At 44.3% G+C, this 24,696-nt stretch overlaps 1 protein-coding gene and 1 non-coding gene across 5 annotated transcripts in view, besides 1 other annotated feature; both read left to right on the plus strand.

The window, feature by feature from the left end:
- PTPRJ (protein tyrosine phosphatase receptor type J) overlaps positions 1 to 24,696 on the plus strand; it is a 190,281-nt gene that overhangs the window by 112,291 nt on the left and 53,294 nt on the right. For all 4 annotated transcript variants that reach the window (NM_002843.4, XM_017018085.2, XM_047427374.1 and 1 more), the window contains exons 2-3: positions 17,209 to 17,227; positions 19,898 to 20,134. In NM_002843.4, the coding sequence (NP_002834.3) occupies positions 17,209 to 17,227; positions 19,898 to 20,134 (256 nt within the window). The remainder of the gene's footprint in view (positions 1 to 17,208; positions 17,228 to 19,897; positions 20,135 to 24,696) is intronic.
- On the plus strand, positions 3,933 to 4,009 carry MIR3161 (microRNA 3161). Its single transcript, NR_036119.1, has one exon. It is a non-coding gene; the product is annotated as a microRNA 3161 (primary transcript).
- Positions 4,777 to 5,277: an enhancer, noted in NCBI's record as "H3K27ac hESC enhancer chr11:48119178-48119678 (GRCh37/hg19 assembly coordinates)". NCBI's record gives its function as "activates a minimal SCP1, AML or CMV promoter by ChIP-STARR-seq in naive H9 embryonic stem cells {active_cell/tissue: H9 hESC(naive)}" and the evidence as "EXISTENCE:reporter gene assay evidence [ECO:0000049][PMID:30033119]".

Genomic DNA, 24,696 nt, shown 5'->3' on the forward strand with positions numbered 1-24,696 from the left:
TTTCCATGTCTTGGCTATTGTGAATAGTGCCGCAATGAACATGGGCAAATTGCCGTGTTGAGTTAAGGAAGCTCTTTTCCAGTCTGAGTTTGCAAATAGCTTTTCATATATGAGCGTTGAATATTATCAAATGCTTTTCTGCATTCACTGAGATGACTTTATGTATTTAAAAAAATCTGATGGCCTATATTTTCTATTTCTAAACTACTCGTGTATTCCTGGTATAAATCAACTCAGTGTGTTACTCTCGTTTTTATACATAGCTGGATTCGTTTTCACTAATATTTTGTTTGAGATTTTTGCCTCAGTGATCATGTATGTGATTGCTCTGTAACTTTTCATTCACATTTTGTCCTTGTCTGTCCTGGTATCAAAGTTATATTGGCTTCATAGAATGAGGGAAATGTTTATCCTTCTAAAAATATTTAGTAGAGTGGTCTAAGATGAGAGTGTAAGTGAGTAAACTTTCTCAATCAAATATTTTGTGATATGTTTCAGGAATTTCATTACATGTTTGGTTCAATTTTTAAAGCATTTCTTTTTATTATTTAAAACTTTTAGCATTGGTGACCATCCATGTGCTGCTTTTATTGCCAGCTTAACTTGTTTTTATGACATCTTCAGGAAGAAAACCTCTGCTGTCTATTTAATGGAGATGAATTGTTAAACTTTTACCATTTGCAACTACACGTCTCTATGAGTCAGACTTTTATTGATCGTGTACAACTAAATGAAACCCGGAAATGAAGGAAATGTAACAAGCGATTTTATGTATTTTTTGTTTGCTCAAATTGCCTTTATAAAATAGATTGATACTCTATAATAAGCAAATGTTGTGAATTTGGAATTTTCAAATTGAGGCTTACTAATAATGTTAACTATTTTATCCGAGTTTATTTGGGTTTCTTATAAAATGTAATTTCTCAAGAAGATTTTGCTGCCCTAAAAAAAAAAAAAAGAAAAAGAAAAAGACAAAAAGGGAAGCCACTGGTTGCTAATGGCTCCTGCGGCTCTGACGATCCTCGATGAAGTGTTCTTTGATTAAGTGTCAAGATGAGTGGTGCAGACCTTTGACAGACACATGATTGTGGTTGGAGAAAGCCCAGCATTAACTGCTGACCTTGCCATCTGTGAGCAGGTGTTGAATGAGCTCAGTTCCCTCCCAGCCCTTCTTTTTCCCTGGTGGGTCATTGGCTCCTGAGTAAGATAGATGCATGCAATAGAAGAGCTGTTAATAGCATTTACTCTTTCTTAATCCTTATTAATCCCATTCATATTTCAGTGTCTGAAACTTGGCAGGATGTCAAGAAGCCACAGTGCAAGTAGGGAAATTGAACAGCAAGGACCAAGTACAATGTTCCCCTGATATTTAATTTGCTAAAACATGTAAGAAGAAGAAAGTTCTTACATTGTTAGGTCCCAAAGAGAGTGCCACTAAGCAACCTTGCCAAAACCACCTTGCTGGAGCTTCTTATTATCTTTTTTTAGCGAATGGCAATAAAGTCATTTTGTCAAGCTAACCAAGTACCATAATGAGATCTTTGTGGCATAAATTAACCGAGTGGGGAAATAACTTTGACAGGGGTTGATGTCCGAAATGAAGTGTTGTTTGTCTGATGTCAAGCCTGTGGGGAATTTGAACCTTGCACTCTTTCCTGATAAGACATTAACCTCTGCATGGGCTTGCTGGCCCAACCTTTTGATTAACTGGACCTATTTTCTTGTAGATCTAATACAAGGATTTGGAGAACCCCAGTAAAATGCTGGAGGGACTTAGACTCTGATCTCTATTGGGATGTGTCAAATTGGAGATTTGGTGGGCTTTTCTGCTGTGTTTACTGCGATGGGTGTGTGTATTTGAAGTCTGTATGTGGCCTTTAAGGATGTGTTTGGGGCGCAGAAGTTCTGGGTAACAGAGAGGCTCTCAAACGTTAGATTTTGGATTAGACTTTGGGTCAACTTCAGGGTAGCAAGAGGATGGATACCCGAGAACATGTTTTCTCCGACTTCCTGGCCCCTGTCTTCTAAGTTCTGGGTAGTGATGGGTCTTTGGAGGGGCAGCCCTTTCTGCCATGTGAATCTTTGCCCAGCCCTGAGGGGGTGAGGGCTGGCCAAGGGAGCCGGGCCATGGTCGGAGAGAAGGCTGAGGCTCCTTGAGAAGCATTTGGAGTTTGAGTCAGTTGTGTCTTTTAAAAAAATTACCCATTTTGGACTTGCCTGTGGAAGCAATTAGAGAGATCACAGGACCGTTTCTGATTCCCAATTCTGTCCAGTGTCTATTCAGAAAAATAGAAAACAGTCAACTGGAACAGGGGATTATTTGAGCACACACAGAGTCCTGTTGTCTCAGCAGCGTGCCCTCAGACAATTTGCCTTTTAGTGAAGTTTAAGCCCATGAAAGGAAATAAAAAGTGTTTTATTAGATGGCAAAGAAAGATGGACTGGACTTATGAGACTTTGAGAATTTTTGCTTTTTCTTTGTTAATGCAAACTTTGGAAGAGAGCAACTCTTTCTGTAATGCAATTTATTTGTACAATGTGGTAGTTATTGTTAATAGCTAATAATGATCTTCAACTGGGTAAAATACCATTGTGTGTTTGAGAGGGAGAGAGAGAGAGAAGGGTAGGAGGAGAGGGAGAATATCTTTTGTTCAAAGCCAAATGTTGCTACTTCTGAAGACGAGTGCACCTTATGGGTATAGCCAGCTATAATGTTTATCAAACATATACTTTTTTTTTTTTTTTTTGAGATGGAGTTTTTGCTCTGTCACCCAGGCTGGAGTGCAGTGGCATGATCTCAGCTCACTGCAACCTCCACCTCCCAGGTTCAAGTGATTTCTCCTGCCTCAGCCTCCCTCGTAGCTGGGATTGCAGGTGCACGCCACCACACCCAGCTAATTTTTGTATTTTTAGTAGAGACAGGGTTTTGCCATGTTGGCCAGGCTGGTCTTGAACTCCTGACCTCAGGTGATCCACCCACCTCGGCCTCTGAAAGTGCTGGGATTATAGGCATGAGCCACCATGCCCTGCCTCAAGCATCTATTTTGTGCAAGAGCTTGCAGAAGTTCTTTCCTGCCACAGCCGTGGTTGGCCACATTGCTCCCCCATGAATATGTGGAAACTGACACTTCAGGAGAATTGGTGGCTCACCCATGGCATTCAGCTAGTGGGTTATGGGGCAGAGACTCAAACTCAGCCCTGACTCCCACAGCATTGTTCTTTTTCTGTAAATTGCTGACTTACTCAGTTGATCACAGTTCATTGCCGTTTACAGAATTTGTCTGCACCCATTGTGCCTTTTAAGTGTCGATTTTCTTTCCTGAAAGCACACAAAGCAAAGCACGGCTCTGCAGTGTGACCCACCGTGTGCTGTGTGGACAGATGATGCTGGTCAGCAGGCAGGAAAACGATCTGCCAGGCGCTGGGGGTGGGGCAGAGGATTGTTCTTCCTGACCTTGGTATGAAAACCGTATGGAGTTCTTAGTGAGGAAAATCACTCTTAGCCCAAATTCCTGCGAAGGCCGATGGGATTGTTTTTAAGATTTGTTGGATTGCTGGATTTGTTGAAGGGAGAACTGGAAGAAGCTATCAGAAGTTTACAGGGCATCGGAGGGAGACACTCCCTTTGGCCACTTTCTCCGCCAAAACTATCCTGGTTTTAGCCCAACAGTTTCCCACGCCCGCCCCCACCCCCACAACCTTGTTTGTTTAAAGACCATTAAAGAACGTCTTCAATTTATTCTGGATTGAGTTTTCCTCAAACCAAACCACCCCTCAGTTCACCCCCCAGAGCTGTTGAGGCCCTTCCTGGGGGCTTGTGGCTGTGGCTGCCTCAGATCAGAGCAGACCCTGGGCTGCATCATCCTTCCACATTGTCTCTCTAAAGTACCTGAAGCCAGTAGTTCTCAAACTTTGGAGAGGGTTTTGAGTCACCTCGAGAGCTGATAAGAACAGAGGCCCAGATTGAAGTTGAATAGTGCTGGGCCTTTGTTTTTACCAAGTTCCCTGGATGGTTCTGCTACCTCCTAGCCTGTGAGAACTACTCCTTTGTGATTTCTTGCCATTGAAATTTTTTCTCACCTTCTTCTTGGCTTGAGTGCTCTTCTGGGTTCCTTCCGGCTGTCCAAATCAAATTTAATTTTCACACCCAGACCTTGTCCCTGCTCTCATCCTTCAGCCCACCCTCCTGTTCCCCATTCAGCCAGACCCCCTGCCAGTCAGTTCAAGTGCTAGGCATGGGGTATCGAGTCTCAGGCCGGTCCACAGACATTCCAGCACCTGGTGGTAAGAGGTGAGTGCTGCGTGGACCCACTGAGGAAGGCTCTGGCTGTGCTGGGGGAGGGGAGTTTATGCTCGTCCTCATAGAAGGATAAGCAGGAATTAAGTGGGCAAAGGAGGGAGTGAGGAAGCTCTCACTTTCTAGGTAGTAGGACCAGCATGAACCAAGGTAGGGGATGACAACATGGCTCATTCAGGGAATTTGAGGTATGTTGATACATGGAAAAATGTACCTGAAATGTGAGTCCTGCTTTTGTGACTCACCCTTTCCTTTACATAAGCATTGATTTACATCTGTTGTTTTTTAAGATAGTGTGTATGTTGAAAAGTTCAGAACAAGATCAAGTGGAGACATAAAATGGTAAGATGTGAAAAGTTGTTCTTGCCAGATTAAATGGTTCCACCTGAAGAAAATTTTTTTTTTTTTTGAGATGGAGTCTCACTTTGTTGCATGGGCTGGAGTGTAGTGGCGTGATCTCAGCTCACTGCAACCTCCGCCTCCCGGGTTCAAGCAATTCTCCTGCCTCAGCCTCCCGAGTAGCTGGGACTACAGGTATACACTGCCAAGCCCGGCTAAGTTTTTGTATTTTAGTAGAGACGGGGTTTCACCGTGTTGCCCCAGGCTAGTCTCAAACTCCTGAGCTCAGGCAATCCCCAGCCTCAGCCCCCCAAAGTGCTAGGATTACAGGCATGAGCCACCGCACCCGGCCTGAATTTTTTTTTGTTTTGTTTATTTATTTCTTGGTTTTGCTGGCCTTTAAGCAACCCAAGACTAGGGGGCTTTCACTCCGTCCCTAGAGAGCTCAAAGGGCCTGACTTAGGGGACACAGTCAGTGAAGGGGATGAATGAATGAGTTTCAGATCCAGGTGTTCTGGATAAGTCACTTTACCTTTCTGGGCCTTTTTCCTCAACTCCAAACAGAGGATGTCGGTATAGACAATCCCTAGGATCTTGTCCCCTTTATGACTGATCACACAGTTCCACTGCTTGCCCTTGAGGCTTTGGTGTCCGCGCATGCCTATTCAGTCTGACCCACAAGAGGCCAGGCCAGCTCTGTTCCAGGCCCTGAAAATCCCATTAAAACTCCACTCACTAGCCTGTTCCCTGGGGGTGCTGAATCAGCATTTAATGGGGAAGGCCACGAGCTAGGCTCTGGTGGGTAGGAAGTGTGTGACTTCTCTTACCTCAACAGTTTCTACTGTAACTAGCGGGATAAGGTAAATCTATGGAAATGCAAGGCTTATGCCGAGGCTCACAGAGTGGGCCAGGCTGCATAAGTCCTGGACACCACAGGGCCTGCTTTGAGAAGGCAGCTGTGGTCCCACAGCCTTGACCACCAGGCACCATCCTCTGTTGCCAGTGGACCCACATTTCAAATCATTTTATCTCTTTTTTTTTTTTTTTTTTTTTGAGACGGAGTTTCGCTCTGTCGCCCAGGCTGGAGTGCAGTGGCGCGATCTCGACTCACTGCAAGCTCCGCCTCCCGGGTTCACGCCATTCTCCTGCCTCAGCCTCCTGTGTAGCTGGGACTACAGGCACGCGCCACCATGCCCGGCTAATTTTTGTATTTTTAGTAGAGACGGGGTTTCACCGTGTTAGCCAGGATGGTCCCGATCTCCTGACCTCGTGATCCGCCCGTCTCGGCCTCCCAAAGTGCTGGGATTACAGGCGTGAGCCACCGCGCCCGGCCTTTATCTCTTAAATAACCTGTATTCATTTGTTCCTTCCCATGTCTTATCCACCAAAAATCTCCAATTGGAAATTCAGACAAGGATTGAGACCCTGTGTTCTTAAATTGGGTTGATTGAAATCTAGAAACAATGATAGTAATAACAGAGTTATCTTCTCTCGAACATCTGCCTCCTGCCTGATGTTATTTCGCTTAATTCTCTCAAGGGCTTGAGGAGAGTCCTGCCATAATCCTTCCTTTCAGAGGGGAAGATCGAAATTTAGCTCAGATCTCAAGCTAGTAATCATCAGAACCAGGATATAGAATCAGGACTAGACCACATGGTCCCTGCTCTGAGCTGCTGCGGGTCCATCCCTGTGGCTCTGTCCAGGGTAAATGGATGATTCAGGGGAAGGGTCAGCAAACTATAGCCCATGGGCCAAATGCAGCCACTGCTTGTTTTTGGGTGGCCCAAGAGCCAAGAATAGTTTCCACATTTTTAAATGGGTGGAGAAAACAAAATCTACAAAGAATAATGTTTCATGACACATGAAAATTATGTAAAATATACATTTAACGCTTGTAAGTAAAGTTCTGTTGGAACTCAGCTACAGTCGTTAGTTTACATATCATCGATGGCTGGTTTCGCAGTACAAGGGCACAGTTTAAAGCCTGCCAGGCCTAAAATGTTTACTGTCTGGCCTATTACAGAAGACGTTTGCTGACCCCTGATTTAGGGCATTCATGAGGCTTGATGAGATGTTGAAAATCAGCTGTCTCCTCCCGTCACTCTCTTCTGATTGTGGGTAGGCTCTGGTGCACCAGCTCTCCAGTGATCTCCTATCTGATGCTCAGAGTTCTTTTTCCATTGCATGGATGTCAAATAAAAGTGTCTGCTTTGTGGCATTTCTGGCTTGAGAGTACCTGCCCAATGTGATTTGCCAAGGTGCCATTTTATCAAAAGTCTTAGGATGACTGGATGGGTTTGCCTTGAATTTGTTTTGCCTTTGCTGATGGTTGTATTTAGGTTATCATTGAAAGAGGATTGCAGAACAGCGGCAGTTTCCTGTGCTGTCTGGATTGAAGTTGAATAATGCCCTAACTTTTAATTGAAAGGGACTGTTGTAGGCGGGAGACTGTCTAAGAGCTGACCTGTCACCACCACCTGAGATGTCTGAGCCCACCCTTGGACTTTCTTGGCACGTGGGGAAGAGGGGGCCTGGGTCCTGGGCTCCCACCTAAACTCAGCAGACCCCACTGGCAGGTGTGTGTTGTGGGGGTGATGGAGGCTTTTTGGAGGGCATTGAGCTCCTTGGGTGGAGGTGGGGTGGCTGCCTTGGGGGCTCAGTGCAGCTCTGGCCATGATGGACAGAAGGAGACAAGAATGTAGCTTCTTGTTCTGAGAACTTCAGCCCAAGTTCCTCCTTTCATGCAGCAGAATCCAAGACACTGACTTGCCCCTCTCTGCTGTTGAGGCTTCTGTGTTGCAGAGATACCTTCTGGCCCTGCTTTATCCTAGTGAGGCAGCTCACCTCTCCCGTGTTTCACTGCTCGAACTCTCCTTCCCAAGGCTGTGCTAGTGGTAGTGATGACAATAATAGCTACTATTTATTGTGTGCCCCTCGTATGCTAAGTGCTTCACGTAGATTATATAATTTAATACTTGTCACAACAGTCTTATGAGGTAAATACTGTATATATATTTAAAAAGACTATTTTTAGAGCAGTTTTAGGTTCACAGCAAAATGTAGAGGAAGTTTCACAGAGATATCCCAAGCACCCCTTGCCATTTTCTCTTAGTTATGAAAATGATCAAATGGGCTGGGTGTGGTCCCAGCACTTTGGGAGGCCAAGGCGGGTGGATCACCGGAGGTCAGGAGTTTGAGACCAGCCTAGCCAACATGGTGAAACCCTGTCTCTACTAAATACAAAAAATTAGCTGGGTGTAGTGGCACATGCCTATAATCCCAGCTATTTGGGAGGCTGAGGCAGGAGAATTGTTTGAACCTGGGAGGTGGAGGTTGCAGTGAGCCGAGATTGCGCCATTGCACTACAGCCTAGGCAACAAGAGCAAAACTCTGTCTCAAAAAGAAAAAAAAAAAAAAAAAGATCAAATAGACTTCCAAGTGCCCATGTCTCAGGTTCAGTACTGATCAGCATTTTACCCTCCTTTGCTTCAGCTCCCTCCTGTCATTGCTCATTGCTGAGAGTGGGTAAGGGGCTTTCTCAGGTTCCTGTAGCTGGTAGGATCCCGCTGTCCTCAAAGTTCCTGCACTCAGTGGCTGACGGTGCCAGGTGACTCCCCCTTTTGGGGTCCATGACATTTGCTGCTGTTTCTAAAGCCCCTACTGTGTGCTGCTAATCCCCTCACCAAGCTTGCAGAGCGGATGGTAACTGACAGGTGAAAAAATGCAAGAAGTTAGGTCACGGGTCCGGGGACATCCTGCTAATAGGTGGTGGTGCCAGGCTTCAAACTCAGGCCTGACTTCAAGTCCCGCAGCTTCTCTGCCCCACCCTGTCTCTGTCCTCCTCACCTCTGTAGTGTGGTGGGACTCGGTGGGGTGGTCGTTTGACTGTGGGAACTTCTGTTTGCAAAGCCTTGGAAGGACCCAGGTGACTGCAGATAGTTCCGTGAGAAGCATCTGGGACTGTTGACCTCACTGCTGATCTTCCTTGTGAGCCTGTGATAGGGCTAACCCTTGGCTTTCTGGCCAGAGTGTAGACAGAGACCCGATTAGCATTTTGTGGTCAGTCAGAGGCAGTTTGTGAACCTGGAACTTGGAAGCTGGTTTCCTCCTCTGGGAGGGATGTGGAGCCTGGGGAGCCAGGAAGGCATGGACTGAATATACACCCAGCTGGGCAGTGGGGAAGGGAGGATTCCGTGGGGAGCTAGCCCTGAACACAGCAAGCATTTGGTAAATGGTGCCTGTTAGCTGTTTTTATCCGTATTCTAAGGTGGACGAGCGGCGCAGGAGAGAACTGGTAGGATTAATGGAGTGGTTTCATTATTCAGATTTAAGTGCATGCAGCCAGAAGTCTTCAACTGAAGAATTGAAACTCTCTGCTCTTTTTTGGGGGTCATGGTGGCAGTGTGAGGGGCTGGTTCATGAGTGAGGAGAAAAGGTAGTGGCAGGCAGAATGGTACATTTTATATTCATATTGTGCACATTATTCACACCTGACATGGGCCAGAAATCCTCTCCTAAGAGAGACACTTGGAAAGTAAACAGTTTGTTAATCATTTCAACCCGTGGACTTTGGTTGCAGGGTGCATTTTGATCAAGGGTTACAAACACCAATGTCTTCAGGGACATTTGGGGACATAAATAAAGGGAATGGACAAAAAGATGGAAAAGCATACTGCCTCTCAGTCTTTCGCATGCTCATGTTTGATAGAGAAAATCAACATCGTGGGGGCAGTGTTGCTTGGCAACTGCCATTTGTCCTCAGCGTTGGGGTGACATTACTAGGGAATGGCTGTGAACTCCAAGCACTTCCCCCCGGGAAGCGAGGCTGACACTCAGATCCAATTCATGTCTTTAATGTGGCCAAATGAGAAAGCCAGATGTATTTCTGAGAAGCCAAAAAACAAGATTTAAAAAATGCTATCTCCCTAATTTTTTTTTTTGAGACAGAGTTTTGCTCTTGTTGCCCAGGCTGGAGGACAGTGGTGCGATCTTGGCTCACTGCAACCTCTGCCTCCCAGGTTCAAGCGATTCTCCTGCGTCAGCCTCCCGAGTAGCTAGGATTACAGGCCACCATGCCCAGCTAATTTTTGTATATATATTTTTTTCAGTAGAGACGGGGTTTCACCATGTTACAGGCCAGGCTGGTCTTGAACTCCCTTGAACTCAGGTGATCCACCTGCCTCAGCCTCTAAAAGTGCTGGGATTACAAGTGTGAGCCACTGCACCTGGCTTCTATCTCCCTAATTTTTAAATACTTAAGATTTTAAGAAACATCACAGGTCAAGCAATGCATGGCAGTGGGCTAGATTCAGACAGGGGAGCCTCAATTTAGGACCCCCAGATTTATCATACAAGGTGGAGGAAGGGTTCAGATAGGGACTTGGGGATTGCCAACTCTGACCCTCTCTTCAGATGAAGAGATTAGCCCTGTGGAGGAGTCCAGGATTTGTATTTTAGTCTTGGTACTGGGTGTTCTGGGTTGAGTTGCTAGACCATTCTGGGACAAGTTGCTAGACCATTCTGGGACTTACTTTCTTCCTCCATAAAGTCAAAGGGTAGGTAGATCACACATTTTTAAAGTGTGCTCCTTGAGGTGTGTCAGGGGTTCCATAAGCATTTGCTTTCAGTTTTATTAAAAGCAGCCTGTACTCTCAAATTTGAGTATATTTGAAATTGTAATGAGAGCAGTTGCTCAGGATGGAGTGTGGTGGCTCATGCCTGCCCCACACTTTGGAAACCTGAGGTGGAGGAAACCTTCAGGCCAGGAGTTTGAGACCAGCCAGGGAAGTATAGGGAGACCCCATTTCTACAAAAAACAAAAATATTAGCTGGGTATAGTGGGACACATGTGTAGTTTGAACTACTCGGAAGGCTGAGGCTGGGGGATCGCTTGAGCCCAGGAGTTTAAGGCTGCAGTGAGCTATGATTGTGCCATTGTACTCTGGCCTGGGCCACAGAGTGAGATCCTGTCTCAAAAAAACAAAAAACAAAACAAAAACAAATTAAAAAACAAAACAAACCAAAAAAACCAACCAACACATTTGCCCAAATAGTGAATCACATCAAATTTTAAAATTCGCTGGAAACTATCTGCTTCTTAATTTGATTATACATCAATTATGTTCAAAGTAAAAAACAAGGTAATTTGAAACAGCTGCTTTTATCCAGGTGTATACACGGTGTATACATACACAGATATGTATGAAATGTGGAACTCTATACCCGTATGTATGGAGTTCCTCCTAAGAGTCTTTTTGAGAAAATAGTTCCATTGCTAAAAATACCCAATGGAAACTTCTGGCCTGGGATTTCCAAGTTCACCCTCGGCTGTGCGTCTCAAAGTCCACACAGCCTCACCAAAATAGCCCTTCTGGGTACTTTTTTCTGTGTGTTCTTGGAGGAGGCCATCGTGCCTCCAGCTCCCTAAGGCGGAAGATGAGCCAGCGGGGATCTTTGCAGGGTGGTTGGTTCTCGTTCCTTCCACCGAAGCCTTCCATGGCATTTTTGGGACCTGGAATTGTGAATTATTCTGCCTCTTCCCCACAGTCCCTGATGACAGCATGAAGTTCAGAGAGTTTATTTGCAGATGAGGCAGGGAAGCCGGCCTGTTCTCATCTTGCTGTGCCTGATGCCTTGTGCTTGGGGCACTGTTCACTGTGCTGCCTGCTGGCCTGCTTGTCTCTGCCTTTTGGATGGGAGATAGGCCACCCCACAGTGCCACACCTGCCTTCAGGGAAGCTTTTGGGTGTTCCTTGTCTGGCTTCTGGGTTCAGTGGGAGGGCCCACCCAGCCTGTCATTTTAATGATTTACCTTAGAGGAGCCAGTTTTATAGGGAGTTGTTGGATAATCTTCACAAGGCAGATAAATGGGAGAGCAGGAAGAATGATGGCCTTTCAGAGTTGAAATCTGTGCTGCTCCAAATCCCATAAACTGCTATTTGATTTTAAACATTGCTTGAAGCGGTTCACATTTTGGTTAATTACGTCAGTGGGTAAAAATAACTATTGTCATATGGTGTGTGGGCTTGGCTTTAGAAGGATAAAGAGTCTATTGTTACCCATTGTGCTATTCAGTCACTTATTACCCATCCTTAAAAGCCCAACGTGGATAACAGAAAACCTGGAGAGCTTTGTCACTTGCTGAAATCCAAGCTGCCCTGTGAATTTATCCCCAAACACTGCTCCTTTTGAGAAACTTGTACAAGCTGCCTTAATTTAGTCAATTCAAATGGGTTGATGGGGGCTGTTCCCAAGGCCCAGGACAGGCAGGGGTTTGTGACCTGCAGCCCTGGAACTGCCTTTGGGTTTCATGGTCTCAGTTGAGACCTGCCCAGGGTTGAACCAGCTTAGTGCTCCCTGGGGGTGGTTAAGTTCAAGGACTTCAGGGTCCGATTGACCTTGGGCTGAATCTTGACCTGGGGCTGTAAGATGCTCGGTCAGGACCTTAACTTTTCCAAGGCTCGGTGTCTACATCTGGAAAATGGGGATAAACACAGTTCCTCCCTGCTGGGATTATTGTAAGGCTTGAATGAGATGATAAATACAACATCTGACTTGCGACTGGACGGTAGCAAAGGGTTTAGTTAATATTATAATAAGTAGAATGGAACAGCATTAGATTCTCACACAGGGTCACTATGTTGTTTTCTCCCATTCTACCCCTGCATATTACCCTGAAGCACCCCCAAGCCTCTCCCTCCCCATCCCTCAAGCCCCTCCCTCCCCATCCCCCAAGCTCACCAGGTCCTGGCGCACCCAGATCTTTCACTGCTTTTCTTGCCTGTGAGCTCTTGGGGAGTCAGGACCACCTTAAGCACCCTCTGCATCTTTGGCACCTAACCTGGGGCCTGGGGCCCTGCAGGGCCACAATTAGCAGCATGGACAACAGCATGGACGGAGAGGGTCTCAGAGCCTGGAGAGCTCCTAGGGGCTGGAGCAGTCACAGGAAGTCACCAAGTGAATTGAAGGGTGGTGGCTTTGGAGGTTCAGTGAGGCAAGAAGAAGGCTGTTAGGCTGGGAATTAAGGAACCTTGTGTTGTTCGAGTCTCAGGACAACTCAGATATGGGGTCTGTATTGCAAATGCCCCTGCGTCATTTTACAACTGATGAAAACAATGGCTCCACGAGACCCTCAAGTGCCAGAGCTCATGAGTGACAGTGGAAGTTGAACTAACCTTTTAACCACCCTAGTCCACACCTGTCAGGCTGACGGGCTTTCAGTGGTGATGTGTTGGGAGCTCTGTGCCGCAGATCTCTGTGTGCTCCTGAGACTCTGCCCGCCTGTCTCTACCCTGCTGTGCCCACTAGGAGGAGGCTGACCTTTATGTTCTACACCAGTGGGTGCCCTTGGTCTCCAGCTTCCAGTGGGCCAGTCTGGCGAGAGACCCTAGCTGGAGATGAGGGGAGGTAGCCTTGGCCTCTCTCCTTGCCCTTCCTCGCTGCTGCTACCCCAGGATTCTTGCCCATCCCTTACTGGTTTTCCTTAACCCCACCCTCACCCTTGAAAACAGACTCTTTAAAACTCTCCTCACTCACCCTCATTGAGTGTGTCATCTGCTCCAGCTAGGATATTGGCTAATACCGCATGTTTCAGAAAGAAAAATTCGCAGTTCTATTTATTTTTTTACTGTGGATTGAAGGGAGAGGCAACCAGGTATATGGATGAAGGAGTAGGGCCTGGCTGTCACCACTGGTGTTCACAAAAGGCTCCCGTTTAAGTCCTCTTATATTCCAAATGAGGGGTTATAGGTCGAGTCAGGGCGTTGCTCTAACAGAAGCAAAACCAAAAATACACGGCCGTAGATACAACCCTGTTCTGGTACTTCCTAATTTTGTGTGTACATGTGTGCACCTGGAGCTTCAAGAAATGAAAATGGAAATGGCCTGAGTGTTTCTCAGCCCTAGGATGAGGCTGTTTCTGTGATTTAGGGCTGGAGGTTATGAAGACTTGGTTTACAATATGCACAGTACAGAAGCGGGGAAGTCAAGGTGTGCTGGGCAAGGAAACATCTTTATGTGACCCACAAAGAGTGAAGCAGAGGGAAGAACCAGAAGTTATTCTGGTTTGCAGACTGGGAGACAGGTTTAATGACACAGTCATGTCAGAGAGAGGGGAAGAGGAGAATACGTAGGGGGTCTGTTTTGATGTGTATGTACATGTAGGATTTTCATGTAGAGGAGTTGGGGAAAATTTTAGAAGTTTTAGGTGTAAATGCAGCTGGTAAGATCCTTATGACTTAGTTTCTTTTTTTTCTTCTTTTCTTTTCTTTCTTTCTTTCTTTTTTTTTTTTTTTTTTTTTTTAAGACAGAGTCTCACTCTGTTGCCCAGGCTGGAGTGCAGTGGCGCGATCTCAGCTCACTGCAACCTCCGTCTCCCCAGTTCAAGCAATTCTCCTGCCTCAGCCTCCCAGAGTGCTGGGATTACAGGTGCATGCAACCACACCTGGCTAATTTTTGTATTTTTAGTAGAGTTGGGGTTTCACCATGTTGGCCAGGCTGGTCTGGAACTCCTGACCTCAGGTGATCCACCTGCCTTGGCCTCACAAAGTGCTGGGATTACAAGTGTGAGCCACTGCTCCCGGCCTTAGTTTTTGAGTGGGAAGAATCTAGTGTTCAGAGTGGACCACTGATGTCATAGCTGCAGGTTTGGCTGAATTGGGATGGTGCAGAAAGCCGTGTTAACCATTTCTTTTTCTCTGAGGCCTGGAGGAGGATCCTTGTGACTGGAACCACAGTTGGGACTGGCAGTGGTTTTTCCTGCTGGCAAGGAAAAAAAAAAAGAGAAAAGAAAGAGTTCGACTTATCAGCACAAAGAAAGGAGGATGTGAAACTAGAACCATCTCTAGGGCAGTTCTAGCAATGAACAAGGCTGGAAGGCTCACCGGCGAGGGGTTTCCCCTCAGGAAAGGGGACAGAGAAGCTTCCACCTCCTGGGTAGCATTGGGTGTTCCTGGGCACATCTGGGTGACTAACGGGTTTTCTGCCACACAACTGGGGTATATAGGGAAGTCTTTGGCCAGAACTGTGGGCCGTACTGCATTCTTCCCGTGTCTGTCACTGCTGAGTCGTGAGCTTGATCTCTTTTCTTAGTGTTTGCTCCTTTTGTCCAGCTATGGGGGCCAGCAGAAGCTTTGGGTCATCTGTACCAGTGACTTTGCTGTGAAGATGTAAGGGAGAGTGGTTGAGGTCAAGATCTGGGTTCTGGTTCTTGTGCCTCCTCTCTGGCTGTGTGTCCTTCAACAAGCTGCTTACTGTCTCTGGGCCTCCGTGCCCTCTGCAACTGGGTTGTTGGTCTATTTAAATACTTGGAGAAAAAAGCTGGGCATGGTGGCTCATGCCTGTAATCCCAGCACTTTGGGAAGCCAAGGTGGGAGGATTGCTTGAGCCCAGGAGCTTCTGACCAATCTGGGCAACAAAGTGAGATGCTGTCCCCATACAGAAATAAAAAAATTAGCTGGGCATGGTGGTGCATGCCTGTAGTCCCAGCTACTTGGGAGGCTTAGGTGAGAGGATCGCTTGAGCATGTGGGATCAAGGATGCAGTGAGCTGTGATTGCACCACTGCACTCCAGCCTGTGACAGAGTGAGACCTTGTCTCTTAAGAAAAAAGTTATTCAAAAAATACTTTGGAAAACAATGCTGGGGAGAGTATGAGCTTCAGATTGCACATTGGTTTCTATCAGGAGGATCTGAGCCTCGGTGGTGTTACCTGTAAAATGGGGATAAAAATACCTCACAGGGTTGCAGTGAAGATGTAAGGATGATGATGATGACAACAGCAGCTCAAATAGATCATTTAACTTAATTCTCGCCAAAGCAAGGCAGGTACAAAGATCATCCTGTTGGCAGATACAGACAGGGAGGGACAGAGAGGTTAATTAAGCAAGCTACCTGCCCGCAGTTACATGGCCAGAAGCAGTGGCACTGAACGACTTCCTTCAGGCGGTCTGAGTCCAGGTCTCAGCTCTTAGCCATCACTCCATGGTTCTGTGCTGAGACAAGGGATGTAGAAAGCCCAGCACAGTGTCTGTTACATAGTAGGTGCTTAGTAAGTTAGAGTTCCTTTTTATCCTCAGAATGCGTTTGCAAGTATAGCCTCCCACAGTGCTTTTACTTTAATCTTTCCCCTTACTGGGCAAAAAAATGTTTGCTGCCCTGTGCGACTTGCCTAGCTATTGACTTCTCTTTTTTCTGCCTCTCTCCTATGATCCATCCTAGACTGTGGATTGAGGCTCAGCCTAGATTAAAGGGCAGGGGCTGGAGGAGGAAGATGAGCTGAAAAAGGGTAGGCCTGAGGCGCGAAGGAGTTGATGGTAGGGTGGAAGGTGGGAATGGGAAGTTTGAGAATTGGAGGACCTGGGGGCAAGACTTTCCCCCTCTGGGCTCGTTCTTTCCTTCCTGTGCCGTTTATTGAGTGCCTACTGGGTCCACCATTCTAGGCATGGGGCACAGACAAGATCTCTGTTCTCATGGAGCACACAGTGTGGTTGGAGGAGTCAGTGATGGACAGAGAGTGAGGGGTGTTGGTTTCCATGGCTGCTCGGAGAAGGACTTGCTGAGGAGGTGGCGTTTTGGGCAGGCCATGAAAAGGTCTGGGCAGAGTGTGTTTGTGGGAGGGAATAAATATGTAAAGGCTCTAGGGGAGAATCAGTTTCGAGAATGTGAGGGGGCAGTGAGACCAGAGGGGCTAGTGGGCTGTGGCTGAGTTTGAATTTTATTCTAAGTGTCATGGAAAGTAGGAGGACGGTTTTTTCCACCAGGGTCCTTTTTGATTATTTTATTCTTCGTGACGATCCTACTTAAAAAAAAAAATCTTATTCACCAAAAAGGTGTGTTTGTGAAACAATAGAGTGTACAACCTTGAATCACTTTAGATTTTTAAAGTATAGGGAAACAATTATGGATCACAATGAATATCCTTGAGGGCTGCTCCCCTCCCCAGCTGACACTGTCAGCTAAACCTTTAAGGCCTCTTGTGTGTCAAGCATTAATTCTTCCCAAAGCTGCTTGACATGTGATTAAAAATTTTTACTGCCACCTACTGATGGAAAGAAGAAGATGAATTTTTGTACAATGAAAATCCCAAACACAGTGGATTTCTGGTTTCCACTGTGCTGTCAGGACTGGGAAATGGGTCTGGGGAAGGGGTGTGCTGGGCTTGGTATCCCCCCCACCCAACCCCCTTTTTTTGGCCCTGACAATCTGGTCTCTGCTTCTGTGTCCTTCTGCTTCAGCTCATCGCACAGTGGGTGGAGGGAGGTGCTGACCTGGGGAGTTGCTCCGGGGAGAGGGCTGGAGGTGGGGGGATGTGTCTGGGGAGAAACACTGGGCACTGGGAGTCAGCAGCCGCCAGCCCCCACATAACCCAGTTAATCCTTTGTAATTGACCCCGAGGTTGCAATGATTCCCTGTGTTTAATGTCCCAAGACGGCCTAACCCTGACCAGCAGACCTTTGCTTAATGTGCTTCTTACCACCCCACCCCCATTATTAAATCCTCAACTGCTTTATTTCTGATTTGCATTTTCCATGGCTGAATGAATCTGCTGACTTCCGTTTTCTTTTTCTGTTTCAGATCCTGTGCGCAGGTGGCAGTGAGTACCCTTTTCCTCTCTATTCTTGTGTTGTTCGCTACTGCCCCCTAATGGACACACAGCAACATTAACAGCAATGTGAAATGCTAATTTATTAAAACCTGCTCGGTTTCCAATTTTTCTTTTTCTTTTTCTTTTCTTTTTTTTTGAGTTGGAGCCTCGCTCTGTAGCCCAGGCTGGAGTGCAGTGGTGCCATCTCGGCTCACTGCAACCTCCGCCTCCCGGGTTCAAGTGATTCTCCTGCCTCAGCCTAGCAAGTAGCTGGGATTACAGGCACGTGCCACCATGTCCGGCTAATTTTTTGTATTTTTAGTAGAGACGGGGCTTCCCCATGTTGGTCTTGAACTCCTGACCTCAGGTGATCCGCCCGCCTTGGCCTCCCAAAGCGCTGGGATTACAGGCGCGAGCCACCACGCCCGGCCCCAATTTTTCTTTAGAAGTAGGAGTGAGGGTGGAAACAACAAATGAAAGAAAAAATTTTAATTAATTGTGCAATCATGATGAAAATTTATATTTTCTGTAATTTTTTTCTAGCCTCATCTGTGGGCGATTTAACTTAGTTGAAATTGTAATACATTATTTGTATATTGTTTATGTGCTGTTATCCTTTAAGTATTTTCTTGTGTTGCTACATTGCCCTTTTGTTGCTACATTGCTACATTTAAAGAATGGGGTGGAAGATCGTCATAACCTTTGGAAAATGAGACCTGGACTCCCGCATGTTTTGCTTTCATGCACAGGGCTGAGTCCCAACTGCTGACAGTGCTGGTTCATTCCCTGGTAATAAAATGAGAAAAATAAGGATATGACTAGAAGTTTTTTAAGGAAGCTTAAATATATTCAGTTGAAAGCACCATCCATCCCTGGATTATGTCCTTACTAATTTTTTGGTCATAAAACATTTCTATAAGAATTGAAGGCCGGGCCTGGTGGCTCATGCCTGTAATCCCAGCACTTTGGGAGGCTGAGGCAGGTGGATCACCTGAATTCAGGAGTTCGAGAACAGCTTGGCCAACATGGTGAAACACCATCTGTACTAAAAATACCAAAAAAATTAGCCAGGTGTGGTGGCATGCACCTGTAATCCCAGCTACTTGGGAGGCTGAGGCAGGAGAATCGCTTGAGCCTGAGAGGTGGAGGCTGCAGTGAGCCGAGATCACTCCATTGCACTCCAGCCTGGGCAACAAGAGTGAAACTCCATCTCAAAAAAAAAAAAAAAAAAAAAAAATTAAAAATAATAGTAGTTGGTAGTTTTTTAAAAAATGTACCTTTTAGGAAAAAAAAAAAAAACCATGGTTTTTGTTTCTCCCCAAAATTTGGGAACTTTTTTTTTCCTGATTGGTAAAATCTCAGTTTGTGAGATAAAATAATTAGATTGTACTCATGGAAGCATATATGGGCAGATCTTGCTGAAATCTTCTAATAAAGCAAATCTCAATTAATAATGGTAATTAGAGCCTGTGCAAACAATGGGAAGAGTACTGCCGTTGGTTTTTCTTCCTGTTAATTAGTTTAATAAATAAACTGGTGGGTACCTTGTACAGGCTTGAATCACTGCTGCAGAAGAACACTTCTATTCAAACATCTACCGTAGGTAGTAGAATTGCGGGAAACAGAAATCATGAGCTATTTTAACTGAAAGGATTTACCCTGGGAAGTGAGAGTTTACAGAGTCATTGGAAGGGCCGCTGTATTAGTTTGCCAGGGCTGCTGTAATAAGATCAAGGTCTTGGGGGTTAGGACTTCAACATATGAATTTGGGGGTGGCGGAGCACAAGTCAGCTCATAACAGCTGGGGAGGAGGCTTTAGGCCTGGCCCTGAGAAATTACTCCCAGACTAAGGCTGCAGAACTGACCCCCTAGAGAGTCACCACCTTGGTCATAGACAGCAAGCAGAGAGGGAGGAATCAGGAAGTCCCTGCTGTAGTTGCTGGATCCAGCGGTGAATGTTCTGAGCTGTGATCCTGGGATCAGGAAGCTGCAGCCACTGCCACAGTGTTGGTTCTAGAGCCAGGCAGCATGAGATCCAGTCATCGCATCCACACTACAGCTATAAGAAGGAGGAAGGGCAGAAGGTTGTGCTCCACCCTTTAAGGACACTTGCTAGAAGTCAGACAGAACGTCTGGTCACACTCTGTTTGACAGAAGTTAGTCACATGCAACATCTAGCTGCATGGGAGGCTGGGAAATGTGGTCTTTGTTCCCAACAGCTATGCATATACAGGGCCAAAAATCTCCAGGAGTATGATGAAGGGAAAATGGGGGAATGGAGTTTGGGGGTCAAGAGTGGTCTCTGCTGCACCTCCCTGAACAGAGACTCTAGGAGACTAGTAATGAATTCAAGATAAAGCAGCCAGTGTGGCCAAGGTTCTCCTTCAGTGCCTGAGCTCTTGGCCATAGGAGCTCACGCCTCCTCTCCTTTCCTGTGAATGACTGTGTGCAGTGTAAGCATGGAGCTTCTGCACTCTCGTGGCCAGGTACTCTCCATGTGGCCAGAAATGGCAGTTTCTGAGGGGCTCATGTTGTAGGTGATGATACAAAGAAGAGAAAGAGAGGGATCAGTTTTTCCAAGTGTGCATTTCATTTCAGTGTAAATATTTTGTGAGGTGGGGCATCCCTGTCTCCTGGAGAAATATATTTTTAATCTAATTGTTTACTTTCTTTGCATAGCCCCTAGTCCAATTCCTGACCCTTCAGTAGCAACTGTTGCCACAGGGGAAAATGGCATAACGCAGATCAGCAGTACAGCAGAATCCTTTCATAAACAGAATGGAACTGGAACACCTCAGGTGGAAACAAACACCAGTGAGGATGGTGAAAGCTCTGGAGCCAACGATAGTTTAAGAACACCTGAACAAGGATCTAATGGGACTGATGGGGCATCTCAAAAAACTCCCAGTAGCACTGGTAAGCATAGGCTTTTCTGCCAGTCATGTTTCTTAAAGGAAATCGGTAGAATTTATAAATGTCATGTTTTCCAAATACTGTTCTTCTTTTAATTACCTAAGAAAATCTTTTTAAAAATTTTTATAAAGATAGTAATGCATATTCATTATATAAAACATAGACAAGAAAAGAATAACAAGTAAATCATTAACTGGAGATAACCATTGATCACTTGATATACGAGTTTTATAATTTTAAGATATATGCATGCCTGTGTGCATATGTATATACATATATATGTTTTATTTTGTTTTACAAATATCAAGGTCATCCTTTACATGTAGCTTCTCACCAATATATTACAAATATTCTTCCCTGTTAGTATATACATTTCTACAGGACAGTTTTAATACCTGCCTGGCATTCTATTTTCTAAATCAGGGTTGGCAGATAATAATGGTCCTTGGGCCAAATATAGATCACTTTCTGTTTTTGTAAGTAAAGTTTTATTGAGTCTGCCTATGGCTGCTTTCATGCTAGAATTGAGTAGTGGCAATGGAGAATTTGTGGCTTGTAAAGCCTGAAATATTTATTCTGTGGCCCTTACAGAAAAACATTGCTGATACCTGGGTTAGATAATTGATTCTAAAACTGTGGTTCAGAGATCTCTAGGGGTCTCCTAGATTCTTTCAAGGTATTTCTGGGTATTGTTTTCATAATACTACTAACATGTTATTTGGCTTCTTTACTCTCATTTTATCATGAGTGTACAGTGGAGTCTTGCAGATTCTATATGATTTGGGATGACACTGTCACTCTTACAGCTAATGGAATGTATGCTTTCATATTGTTTAAAAAACTTTATCTTTTTTATTTCTAATACAGTATGGTAAATATTAATCAATATAACCCATATAAACAAAAATTCTCCGGGAGCCTTAATAATTTTTAAGAAGTTAAAAGGGCCCTGAGACCACAGTGTTTAAGAATTACTTGTCTAAAAGCATTGTAAATTATTTAACTGCTCCCCTGTTGTTGGGAAGGTAGATTATTTATTTATAATTTTTCATAAAAAACATTGTGATACAATAGTTTTGTTAGTTCTAGAAGTATTGATAAAATCACATACACAGTTAAAATAAGTCATTGAATTATTTCTAGGGTAATATGAGAAACTTTTAGAAATTCCTAAGGGGCTGGGCACAGTGGCTCATGCCTGTAATCACAGCACTTTGGGAGGCTAAGGTGGGTGATCACCTGAGGTCAGGAGTTCAAGGCCAGCCTGGCCAACATGGCAAAACCCCGTCTCTGTTAAAAATACAAAAATTAGCCGGGTGTGGTCATGCATGCCTGTAATCCCAGCTACTCGGGAGGCTGAGGCAGGAGAATTGCTTGAACCCAGGAGGCAGAGGTTGCAGTGAGTGGAGATGGTGCCACTGCACTCCCGACAGAGTGAGACTCTGTCTCAAAAAAAAAAAAAAAAAAAAAAAAAAAAAGAAAAATTCCTAGCAAGCTTATGTTAATTATTGTTACAAAAATTTGGGCTTAGAGGTTGGGACCATACCAGATGGTCTTCCCAGAAATCACTGGACAGGCTTACTGTTGAAGGGCATTTCCAGAGGAAGCCAATCTACAATGATTGGAATAAGAACCTACTTCTTCAAATATACAGACATCAACACAGAGTCACAAGGATCAAGAATAATCAGGGAAACGTGATATTACCAGAGAAACAAAATAAAGTGCAAGTGGTTGACCATAAAGAGATGGGAGATGTATGAACTGTCTGACAGAGAATTCAAAATACATGTTTTAAGGAAGCCTAGCAAACTTTAAGAAAATACAGATAAAGAATTCAAAGAAATGAGGAAAACAATAAGTGACTAGATTGAGATATTTAACAGAGAAGCAAACAGAAATTCTGAAGCTAAAAAATACTTTGAACAAAATGAAAAATGTAATAGAGAGCACCAAGAGTAGAACTGATCAAGTAGAAGAAATAATCCTTGAACTTGAAGACAGATTATTTGAAAATATACAGAGGAGGAAAAATAAAAAAGTGGATAAAAAGGAATGAAGAATGCCTATAGGATTTATGCAACAGCATCAAAAGACGTGGTATTTGAATTGGAGTTCATCTAGGGGAAGAGAAAGATAAAGAGGTAGAAAGCTTATTTAAAGAAATAGTAGCAGAAAACTCTCCAAACCTGGAGAAAGATATAAATATCCAGGTACAGGAAGGACAAATGACTCCAATCAGAGTCAATTCAAACAAGACTACTCCAGAACATAATCACACTGTCAAACATCACAGACAATGGGGATTTGGAAAGCAAAAAGAGAAAAGAAGCAAATAACATGTAAGGGAGCTCCACTTCAGCTAGCAGCAGACTTCTCAGCAGAAACTTACAGGCCAGGAGAGAGTGGGATGATATATTCACCATGCTGAGGGAAAACAACCTGCCAACCAAGATTGCTATACCCAGCAGAACTGGCCATCAAAAATGAAGGCAAGATAAAAGACTTTACCAGAGAAACAAAAGCTGAGGGAGTTCATCACCACTAGACATGTCTTATAAGAAATGCTAAAGAGAGTTTTTAAGCTGAAAGAAAAGGACACTAGTGATTAATTGAAAACATATGAAAGGATAAGACTAGTAAAATAAATACACAGTCAAATTCAGAATACATGAATACTGTAATGGTCATACATATCTTTAATATGAAAGTTAAAAGATAATACTTAAAAAATAATAACTACAATAACTTGCAGGGGGGATATGCAATATAAAAAGATGTAAATGGTGACATAAACAATTCATAATATGAGTGGGGAATGGACTAGAAGTGTAGAGGTCAATTTGTGTGTGTGATCAAAGTTGTCATCAGCATAAAATAACCTGTTATAACTATAAGATTCTTTTTATAAGCCTCATGGTAACCACAAAGAAGAACCTTTAGTAGATACACAAAAAATAAAAAGCAAGGAATCAAAACATACTACTAGAGAATATCACTTAACCTCAAAGGAAGATAGTAAGAGAGGACGGAAGGAACAAAGAGTCTATAAAACAACCAAATGGCAGTAGTAAGTTCTTACCTATCAATAATAACCTTGAAAGTAAAGGGTTTAAATTCTCCAATCAAAAGACATAGAGTGCGTGAATGGGTTAAAAAAAAAAACCGATCTCAATAGTATGCTGTCTACAAGAGACTCACCTCACCTGCAAGGACATGCCTAGACTGAAAGTGAAGGGATGGAAAAAGATACTCCATGCTAATGGAAATCTAAAGAGTGGCAGGAGTAGCTATACTTATGTCAGATAAAATAGACTTTAAGTTCAAAACTTTTAATGGAGACAACAAACATCATTTTATAATGATAAAGGGATCAATTCATCAAGAGGTCTTAACAATTATAAATATATATGCACCCAGCATTGGAATGCCTAAATATATAAAGCAAATATTAATGGATCTGAATGGACAGATTGACTGCAATGCATTCATAGTAGAGGACTTCCACCACCTTACTTCCAGCAATGGACAATGATCCAGACAGGAAATCAATAAGGAAGCATCAGACTTAAACTACAGTTTAGACCAAATGGATGTATCAGACATATACAGAACATTCCATCCAACAGCTGTAGAATACACACTTTTCAACTGCACCTGGAACATTCTCCAGGTAGATCATATGTTAGACCACAAAACAAGTGTTAACAGATTTAAGAAGTGTGAAATCATATCAAGTATCTTTTCTGATGATGGCATCAAACTAGAAATAAATAACAGGAGGAACTTAAGAAAATTCACAGATATATGGAAATTAAACAACATGCTCCTGAATAACTAATGGGTTGATGATGAAATTAAAAGGGAAACTAAAAAATATCTTGAGACAAACATCACTTCTTAAGCAATTTTGTTAACATATTTCTTTTTCTTCTTTAAAATGGTGCCATAACCTCCTTCATGAAATTGCTGTGAGACATAAATTAGAAAATGCTTGTACAGCCCCTGGTATAGGATCTGTCCCCAGGTCACTTACAGCAGGTCCCCAGCAGGGGTCATGCTGATCTTGCCATCTCCCACAGTAACTATTGTTAATTGTTTTGTCACAAATGCCCCTGAACAATCAATGGGTCAGTGAAGAAATTAAAAGGGACATTTAAAAATTTCTTGAAGCAAATGAAAATGGAAACACAATATACTAAAGCCTATGGGATACACCAAAAGCAGCCCTTCCAAGAAAGTTGACAGCAATAAACTCCTACATCAAAAAAGAAAGCTCCCTGGGCACAGTGGCTCGTGCCTGTAATCCCAGAACTTTGGGAGGCCGAGATGGGCGGATCACTTGAGGTCAGGAGTTCGAGACCAGCCTGGCCAACATGGTGAAACCCCGTCTCTACTAAAAATACAAAAATTAGCTGGGTGTAGTGACACACACCTGTAATCCCAGCTACTAGGAAGGCTGAGGCAGGAGAATTGCTTGAACCCAGAGGGCAGAGATTGCAGTGAGCCGAGATCGCACCACTGCACTCCAGCCTGGGCAACAGAGCAAGATTCTGTCTCAAAAA

Source organism: Homo sapiens, chromosome 11, assembly GCF_000001405.40.
Source record: "Homo sapiens chromosome 11, GRCh38.p14 Primary Assembly".
Lineage (NCBI taxonomy): Eukaryota > Metazoa > Chordata > Mammalia > Primates > Hominidae > Homo > Homo sapiens.